This window comes from Homo sapiens, chromosome 1 (genome assembly GCF_000001405.40).
Source record: "Homo sapiens chromosome 1, GRCh38.p14 Primary Assembly".
In the NCBI taxonomy this organism is placed as follows: Eukaryota; Metazoa; Chordata; class Mammalia; order Primates; family Hominidae; genus Homo; species Homo sapiens.
In genome coordinates, this window is record NC_000001.11 from 198,124,879 (window position 1) to 198,135,228 (window position 10,350).

Here is a 10,350-nt window from a genome sequence, read left to right on the forward strand (position 1 = left end):
TTAAAGTTAATGGTTCATGATAGCTGTAGGGAGTAGGCATCCTCTCTAGATACTGAAAACATGTCTAATGTGATTAGAAATACTAATTTTAGAAAAAAGGATAGTGCTGGCAATGACTATTCTTTATTTCTTACAAAATCAGTGACTTGAAAACCTTTTAAAATGAGGAATCTGGCAAGCACATAGAAGTTAACAGAAGAGGTGGTAATAATATTTAAGGGACTGAGTAAAAAAGCACCAACTGTTCATGTATACTTCCCTTTCTCTATGTTGCTACCTGAGATAATTCCTAGAAAACCAATGAAGTTATTTCATAATTTTAGACTAGGGACTAATGTTTCATCTTTAATTTTCTCTGGAAAATTTTCTCTGCAAAAATCTTTAATTTTTGGAGGGTTACCCTCCAAAACTGTATGCTCACGGCTCAGTCTAGATTTCTTAAAACAGGAGAGTGAGTTGCTTTGAGCAGCAAACAAACAAACAACTCCTACATAAAAATGTTACTAAAATGATGAACATGATGGCTTTATAGGGAGCCACACGTATTAGCCAGCAGAAAGTATATGGAACATGTAAATTCAGTGCCAATGATAGATGCTAAGTGCCTGTTTATTTACAAATGGGCGACAACATTCTTTTGATATTTTCCCAAGTATCTTCATTTTCATTAAGCCCTTATTAAGGCCACTAATTCAAAAGAATTCACTTAAGTCACTGTATTTCTTCGATTCTAAAACACATCTAAGGCACATCTAAGATACATCTATTTGCAAGAATGTAAGCTCCTTATCCAACTTGTTGAAACAGCACTTAAAACAGTATTTGGCAAAAGTAGGGACTTAATTAATACAAGCTGAATGGATAAACTTAACTCGATGAAATTAGAATAAATGTATAATTAGTATATGCATTTAATAGTGTTTATGAATCACATATTAAATACAGCATATATTTTATATAGAATTAATATTGTCTTGTTGTTTTGTCACCAAATGCTGTCTAAAAATCCCTGGTGTCTTACAATGAGTGGTAGTAGATTCAAGGAAATGTAGAAAGGTAAATGTTTCCATCACCTAAATATTTTTTTGAGAATAAACTGAACTCTCCAAATAATAAATTATGCCCTGTATTCAAGTAGTTCTGAGTAAAAGTTTTTTGCAAATCTTCACTGAGAGTACAAAATGCAGGAGGCTCAAGCAGGATGAGCTTTAAATACCAGAGACTTTGGATGCTGGCACTCAACCAAAGAAATCACAGAGACATCAGAGCTCACTTGTCACTGTCAAATTCCTCATAGTGTAAGGCATGGGACTGGTCATTGCTAAACAAAACAAAACAAAACAAACAAAAAAAACCCTTTCTCATTCTTTACTCATAACAGTGGTGTGATCTGGACTAAAGAAATTATGGATTAAATGGAGCCCATTTCAACTTATTTTAGTGCACAATTCTTGGCTGGGATTCCAACCTGGATGTAGACAAGCTAATTGGCAGGCCTAGTGAAAAGTGGTAGCCTTCAAGTTTATTGTATATTATAAACCTAATGGAATGTTGAGAATTAAACCTTGCTTCCCAATTGGTTATTCCAGTAAGCTTTCTAATTGGTTACTCTTTAAACTACTTACAAAAAAAAATGATGAGAACTACAAGCAGCACAGAATCTGCTGGCAAATGACCATTCAACATTTCACATTTCAACACATAAAACACTGATTATGTAATATTTTGTTATGAATTTTGAGCTGCTTTCAATAATAACAGTGACCCCTAGGTCAGGCATTTTCTGGTAATTAGTAACTAGCCCAGTTAGGAGTCCAAGCCTCATAAAATATTGTTAAGACGATTTTATGTTTTATAATTTAGAAAGGTCAATCGGTGAAGTTAAGTAGTTCTCTTTTTTTTCTACTGCTAAATATGAACTTATATCTCAATATCACTCTTGTCATTTTATAAAACATGGACTCTTAATGTCACTACGGACAGAAACATAATTATAGAAATTAGAACTTTAAAACACAGAGTAGGTAAATAATAAATTTACTGGTGAGCAAGAATTTTAATTCAAAACATGATCTGTTGCCTAATCTAGTATAAACATGGTAATTTTTTCCAACCACCAATGTTCAGGTATCTCCTAGCTCTAAAAAGAGCGATAACAATATCTCATCCCAGTGAATAGTTTTACATTCCAGTTGCCAGATTTAGCAATTTAAAAAATAAATGCCCAATTAAATTTGACTTTCAGGCCGAACACGGTAGCTCACATCTGTAATCCTAGCACTTTGGGAGGCCGAGGTGGGAGGATCATTTGAGGCAAGGTGTTCAAGACCATCCTGGCCAACATGGTGAAACCCCGTCTCTACTAAAAATACAAAAATTAGCCAGGCTCATCACAAATGGTGCACATTTGTAATCCCAGCTACTCGGGAGGCTGAGGCACTAGAATCGCTTGAACCCAGGAGGCAGAGATTGCAGTGAGCCAAGATCACACACTGTCCAGCCTGGATGACAGAGTGAGACTCTGTCTCAAAAAAAAAAATTGAATTTCAAATAAACAATAAAAAATATTTTAATATAAGTATGTCTTATATAATACTCATATTTTAAAAATTGTTCTTTAACTAAAATTCATATTTAACTAGTCAGCCTGTATTTTACATGGCAACCCTACCCCTTTCTCCAGATCCTAGGCTTCTTTCTCCACTGATCCTCTCTTCACTTTCTAGTTCCCCAAGTGTTGGAGTTGGGGCAGGGTGGCTTGTGGCAGGTGTGGGAAGTGTGGGAGATGCTGTATGCATGGCAGTCTCCACACCTTCTCTCCTCCCAGGCCTGCCATACTGCTGTTCACACTTTACTGGTCTGTCCCACGCTAGCACAAAACACTTTGAGGTTCTCTTCCCAGGGCTCCAGACAGGAGGTAAGAACAAGCCCCTGTGCTCTAAGACACAAAATCTATCCAGTGGTCTCTGATAGTACCCCCTCTTAGCATTTACAACAGTGGGGCAAAAGGCAGTTCAGAATCCCTGATCCTCACGAACACTCCACCTGCCATCCTCTTCCCTCTATCTCCCTTTTTTTTCCCCCTTTATCTCCACTTTATCTCCAGGCTCCCATTTCCAACCCAGGAAGGACGTTTCCCTCTTGTAAGGCAGTGCGTAGCTCCCCTTTCAAGATTTGATTCACTCTGTGGTCTAAATTACCTTGCTCTTGAATTGAAAAACCTGGACTTTCCATTTATTGTTCCTGATACAGACTGCAAAGACATATTTTTAAATGGAAAGACTGAATATTGAGGGTTACTTATTTTCACCTTTAATCTACCCTGAGGCAAAGTTAGTGTGTGGTTAAATGTGGGAGAAAATTACCATACAAAAAAGGACAAAAAAAGAAAAAAATACATTATTGTGCTATTTCACAATATTGTGTAGCTGCTCTTAGAAGGTCACTGTGACTGAGTGTTTTGCTCAAAACTACTCTCGTATTTTCAGACTGAACTAGTGGTTATATTCATGAACTTACAAGTCCTTCAGTTATCTGAGTGATCTTGTAAAAGTAGCTTACCTTTCTAGTTCTGCCTTTTTTCCTTATTCAAAAAATAAGTTATGTTGGGGGAGCGTTTATTTAATATTTAATCAGGTGACCATTATTTGTTCGGCAATATGAAGTATTTCATTATACACAATACCAAATACAATTATTCCTAATGTACAGAAAACAAAACACTGCAAGATATGTATTTGAAATATAATGAATGGATACAGTATCTCCAAGGTCATTTCTTATTATAAAGTGTATGATTGTATGTGGTGATGTGATCACATTATGTTGTGAATGAATCACAAGGTTTCAGAGTTACAAGCATTCTTAGATTGCTTATTTAGTCAAATTTCCTCATTTCACAAAAGTACAGCTGCCTTTTCCATTAATAGACATGATCAGGAAGTTTCAGAAATGGTTCCACTGTCCTTTGGAAATGTGTAATTTTACATTTCACATTCATCACACTTACCATTTCATATTTGTCTCATCAGTAGAATGTGTTACCTTTCAGATTGGTAACTAAATAAAAATATTATTTATCTGAGGTTGAATTTATCTTTATCAGGATACTTATGCATTTTTTCCTCTTAGCTCATAAAAATCTTATAGAACAATTTAAAAAGCAGGACTGGAACAGATGATTCTATGGTGAAAATGTATATTAATTATTGATAAACAATATACAATTTTACAAGCAATCAAAGAAGTATGAATGAAAACAATCATGATCCTTTTTTTTCCTTTTAAACTGGCAAAGATTATAACAATTAGGATATTCTGTGTACATGGAAAAATATTAAAGTGAATCAGAAAAATAAACCTTGCTCTAAAATGTTGGCATTCTTCAATGGCATTGTCCTATTCCTGCTTCTCTCCTTCCCTTAGCAATGTTATCCACTCTCCTGGCTTTATTTACCATCTTTACACCTACGTTTTAAAATCAGTATCACCTCTATGTTGTTAAACGAAATTTACACGAGGTCATTGGTTGGGACTGAGCTTCTGCACTAGGCCCAACTGGTCAAACCAAAATGGCAAAATGGAGTCACTAATTCTGAAATTCCAGATCCCAAGATGAAACTAAGTTATCTGACCTTCTAAGAAATCAGGAGAGAGATAATGGCCAAGTCTCCTAACAGATCAGTTTCAGCTGGCATGATAAGGAAGTCCCTTCTGCTTTAACCTTTACAAGGAAAGTAACTTTGAACCAGCCAATCCGCGTTTTGTTCCATTTCTGCTTTTTCAGCTCTTTCCTGCCTGTAAAGTGAAGGGGGCCAGCCCCTCCACACCTGTGGGTATTTCTCATCAGGCAGGACAAGAGACTGAGAAAAGAAATAAGACACAGAGACAAAGTATAGAGAAAGAAAAGTGGGCGCAGGGGACCGGCGCTCAGCATTCGGAGGACCTGCACTGGCACCAGTCTCTGAGTTCCCTCAGTATTTATTAACTACTATTTTCACTGTCTCAGCAAGAGGAATGAGGCAGGAGAGCAGGGTGATAATGGGGAGGAGGTCAACAAGAAAACACATGAGCAAAGGAATCTGTGCCACAAATAAGTTCAAGGGAAGGTACTATGCCTGGATGTGCATGTAGGCCAGATTTATGCTTTTTTCCACCCAAACATCTCAGTGGAGTAAAGAGTAACAGAGCAGCATTGCTGCCAACATGTCTCGCCTCCCGCCACACGGAGGCTTTTCTCCTATCTCAGAATTGAACAAATGTACAATTGGGTTTTATACCGAGACATTCAGTTCCCAGGAGCAGACAGGAGACAGTGGCCTTCCTCTATCTCAACTGCAAGAGGCCTTCCTCTTTTACTAATCCTCCTCAGCACAGACCCTTCACGGGTGACGGGCTGGGGGACGGTCAGGTCTTTCCCATCCCACGAGGCCATATTTCAGACTATCACATGGGGAGAAACCTTGGACAATACCCAGCTTTCCTGGGCAGAGGTCCCTGCGGCTTTCTGCAGTGCATTGTGCCCCTGGTTTATCGAGACTGGAGAATGGCGATGACTTTTACCAAGCATACTGCCTGTAAACATTTTGTTAACAAGGCACATCTTGCACAGCCCTAGATCCCTTAAACCTTGATTCCATACAACACATGTTTCTGTGAGCTCAAGGTTGGGGCAAAGTTACAGATTAACAGCATCTCAGGGCAAAGCACTTGTTCAGGGTACAGGTCAAAATGGAGTTTCTTATGTCTTCCCTTTCTACATAGACACAGTAACAGTCTGATCTCTTTCTTTTCTCTACAGTAAAGCCCAATCGCCTCCGCTCAGCTCATCAGAAGAATCATGAATAAAAGTCAATTAGATCTTTAAGCTAAATTTGTTGTAATTTTGTATTTTGACAATATTCAGACTGTATATTCAACTGGTTACTTGATAGCAACTTGGAGAGCTCACACGTACCTCAAACTCAGAACAACAATGTGTCAGGTCACTGTTCTATAATTTTCTTTAATCTTTTATTGTGTTTTTTCAGGGTGTTACATTTATATCATTAAAAAACTATATCTCAATCTGTCCATTTTCTCTCTCCATTCTCACTGTTAATGCTGTAAATGCTCTAGTTCAGGCTGCCATCACATGTAGCCTGGATTGTTGCTAAGTCTTCCTTACTGGTCTCCTTGTATCCACTCTTGGCTACTTTCAACCTATTTTTTTTTTTCTAATTAGCCAAAGTCATCTTTTAAAAATATGAAATTTAGCTCTTTTAAGTATTAGTTGTATGACCTGAAAGACCTAGTGGTCCCTGGAAAGGAGTTTAAATTTTATTCCAAATGAAAAGGAAAGCTATTAAACAGTCTTGGGGGTAAGGAAGTCACATACAAAGACTCACACTTTCCAAGGTTTCCCTGACTGTTGTGTGGAAAATGGATTGTAGGGGAGCACTAGTGGAATCAGAGAGACTAATGAGGAGGCTTTAGCGGTAGTGCCTAAGAGAGGTGATGGAGGCTTGGGCTGAGGTAATAGCAGTGATGAGAGGTGGATGAATTCTAGAAATATCTTGTAGGTTTAATTGACAAGACTTGCTGATGGATAAGATGCAGAAAGTGAAGAAAAGAGAATAATAGAGAATTATGGATGGTGGGGAAAGAAATGAGTTAAAGAAAGCAATCAGAAATTTCATTTTGAGTATGTTAATTTTGAGATGCCTCCAATACATTCAAGTAGAAATTTGTAAGTAGGCACTTGTATAAATAAATCTGGAGCGGGCCGGGTGCGGTGGCTCACGCTTGTAATCCCAGCACTTTGGGAGGCTGAGGCGGGCGGATCACGAGGTCAGGAGATCGAAACCATCCTGGCTAACAGTGAAACCCTGTCTCTACTAAAAATACAAAAAATTAGCCAGCGTGGGGGTGGGCGCCTGTAGTCCCAGCTACTCGGGAGGCTGAGGCAGGAGAATGGCATGAACCCAGGAGGCGGAGCTTGCAGTGAGCCGAGATCACGCCCCTGCACTCCAGCCTGGGCGACAGAGCAAGACTCTGTCTCAAAAAAAATACAAAATAATAAATAAATAAATAAATAAATAAATAAATAAATAAAATAAAAAATAAAATAAATCTGGAGCTTAGCGAAGGAGTTTAGGATAATGAAATAAACTTGAGATTCAGCAGGATGATATTTCTAGCATAAAAATGGAAAAAGGAGATAATATAGGTAGAGAAATGGACACAGGAATGAGTCTAAGGAATGGCTACATTTATAGACTGAGTAACGGAGGAGGAGCCAGCAAAGTAAACTAAGCAGGAATTATCAGGGAAGTAGGAGAAAAACCAGGAGAATGAGGTATTGTAGAAGCCAAGAAATGACAGTGTTTTAAGAAAGAGGAAGTGCTGCTAATAGGTTGAGTAAACAGGACAGAAAAGTATCTGTTAGACTTGGCAACCCAGAGGTCAAGGATAATTTTGATATGAGGTATTATTACTATTATTTACCAATCATACCACATAAGTCTCCTGCCTAAAACCATTCAGTGGCTTCCCTTTGGCCTTATGATGCTGTTCAAAATACGTCCTATGCTTTTTAAACCACTCCACCCTGTGCCCAGTGCCTTGTCTCCTGACATCTGTCTCTGCAGAAATACTGGAATTCTTCCCGTTGCAGTTCTGGAAACATACTATGCTCTCTCTCCTCTCAATGTTCTCACGCAGGTTTGAACCAACAGTAACTTCTAGACTGTATGATATATGAAAAGCAGCACACTGTTGTGGTTAGGAGTGCAGTCTCTAGAGCCAGCCTGCGTGGGTTTGAATTCTTGCTTTTGCTTTTCTGTTTGTACAATCTTAGGTAAGTTCCTTTTCCTGCTTTTACTTTTCTCATTTATAAATTAGGGACATAAGAATACATATTTCGGGCCGAGCGTGGTGGCTCACACCTGTAATCCCAGCAGTGTTGGAGGCCAAGGCAGGCGGATCACGAGGTCAGGAGATCGAGACCATCCTGGCTAACACGGTGAAACCCCATCTCTACTAAAAATACAAAAAATTAGCCGAGTGGGGTGGCAGGAGCCTGTAGTCCCAGCTACTCGGGAGGCAGGAAAATGGCGTGAACCTGGGAGGCGGAGCTTGCAGTGAGCCGAGATTGCGCCACTGCACTCCAGCCTGGGCGACAAAGCGAGACTCAGTCTCAAAAACAAAAACAAAACACAAAAAAAGGAATACTTATTTCCGCCGGGCGCGGTGGCTCACGCCTGTAATCCCAGCACTTTGGGAGGCCGAGGCAGGCGGATCACAAGGTCAAGAGATCGAGACCATCCTGGCTAACACGGCGAAACCCCGTCTCTACTAAAAATACAAAAACAAAAAATTAGCCGGCGGCGGTCACCTGTAGTCCCGGCTACTCCGGAGGCTGAGGTGGAAGAATGGCGTGAACCAGGGAGGCGGAGCTTGCAGTGAGCCGAGATCACGCTACTGCGCTCCAGCCGGGGCGACAGAGAGAGACTGTCTCAAAAAACAAAACAAAACCAAAAAAAACTATTTCACAGAATTATTATTATAGGAAAAAAAGTTACATTCAAGAGAATGAAAATGACAAGATGTCAAACAACAGATGCTAAAAGATAATTGAATAATGCCTTCACAATTATGAAGGAAAATTATTTACCATCTACATTTCTGTATCCAGAAAAAAAATCAATTCTAAGGGCAAAATAAAAACATATTTTCAGACATGTAATCATTTAGAAAATTATGTCGCACATTACCTTTCTTAGGAAATTATTTGTGTATGTCCTCTTAAAAATAAAGGAATTAAACAAAAAAGGTGGGGCCAAGGAATACAAGAATTAGTGATTATAACAATTAAAAGTGATATAGGAAAATCTGAAAAACAGCTGTGTCTTAAATGACAATTAGTCCTAATTGGAACCAGAGGACAGAAAACTTTGAAAAGTTCCTAGGAAAAAATATGGAACCCAGAGATTTGATCATATTCCTAGACTTAAGGTGTTGGCTGATCATAACAGTGAAATAAATGCTGGTAGTGCAAAAAGTAAACAAGGGTAATAAGACACTCCAGCATAAACATAAAAGGTATATAATATAGTTATGCTACACTAGTTGAATTCGAAATAAATGGGATTTACATGGTTAAATCATAGTTTAAATTTAAATGACTATTTTTACTTCTAGAATTAATTTATAGACAAAGCATAGAAGGTTTGGTTATGATTATAGGATTAAATATAAGTGTTATTGTTATGGGCTGAATGTTTGGGTCATGTGTTGAAATCATAACCCCCAATTTGAAGGTATTAGGAGTTGGGGCCTTTGGGGGGTGATTAGGTCAAGAGGGGGTGGGGCTTTCATGAATGGGATTAGTGCCCTTATAAAAGAGGCCCCAGAGACCTCTCTGATATGGTTTGGCTGTGTCCCCACCCAAATCTCATCTTGAATTTTAGCTCTCATTAATTCTTACGTGTTGTGGGAAGGACCCAGTGGGAAATAATTTCATCATGGGGGTGGTTTCCTTCATACTATTCTTGTGGTAGTGAATAAGTCTCATAAAAGCTGATGGTTTTATAAGGGGAAACCCCTTTCGTTTGCCTCTCATCTTCTCTTGCCTGCTGCCATATATGACATGCCTTTTGCCTTCCACCATGATTGTGAGGCCTCTCCAGCCATGTGGAACTGTGAGTCCATTAAATGTCTTTTTCTTTATAAATTGCCAAGTCTTAGGTATGTCTTTATCAGCAGTGTGAATATGGACTAATACACTCTCTTTGCTTTCTGCCATTTGAGGGCACAGGAAAGTCTGCAATCTACAACCTGGAAAAAGGTTTTCACCAGACCCAACCATGCTGGCACTTGGATCTCAGACTTCCAGACTCCAGGACTGTGAGAAATAAATTCCTGTTGTTTAAAAGCCACCCAGCTCATGGTATTGTGTTATAGCAGCCTGAGCTAAGACAGAATCAACCATTTATTCTCTAAAATTTCAATTTTAGATGGCTGATGTTGGAAGGGAATAAAACTGATGGGAAAGACAGGGACATCAGCATCATCTGACAAAATGAAGAATGAAGAGATACTGCTATGATTTGAATGTGTCCTCCGAAATTCATGTGTTGGAAAGTTAATCTCCAGTCCAACTGTGTTGGGAGGTAGAGCCTTCTGAAGGGTTTATATTATGAGGGTGCAGTCCTTATGAATTGATTCATGCCACCATTAAAAGGGCTTTCAGGAGTGGGTTGGCTCCTTCTGCTTTTCTGCCATGTGAGGACTCAGCACTCCTCCTCTCCAGAGGTGTGGCGACAAGGTGCCATCTTTGAACCAGAGTCCAAACCTGCTAGCGTCTTGATA

General features: G+C 39.0%; 2 annotated features.

The window, feature by feature from the left end:
• Positions 7,657-7,716: an enhancer, noted in NCBI's record as "active region_2277". NCBI's record gives its function as "activates an Ori minimal core promoter by ATAC-STARR-seq in GM12878 lymphoblastoid cells {active_cell/tissue: GM12878}" and the evidence as "EXISTENCE:reporter gene assay evidence [ECO:0000049][PMID:35858748]".
• Positions 7,807-7,906: an enhancer, noted in NCBI's record as "active region_2278". NCBI's record gives its function as "activates an Ori minimal core promoter by ATAC-STARR-seq in GM12878 lymphoblastoid cells {active_cell/tissue: GM12878}" and the evidence as "EXISTENCE:reporter gene assay evidence [ECO:0000049][PMID:35858748]".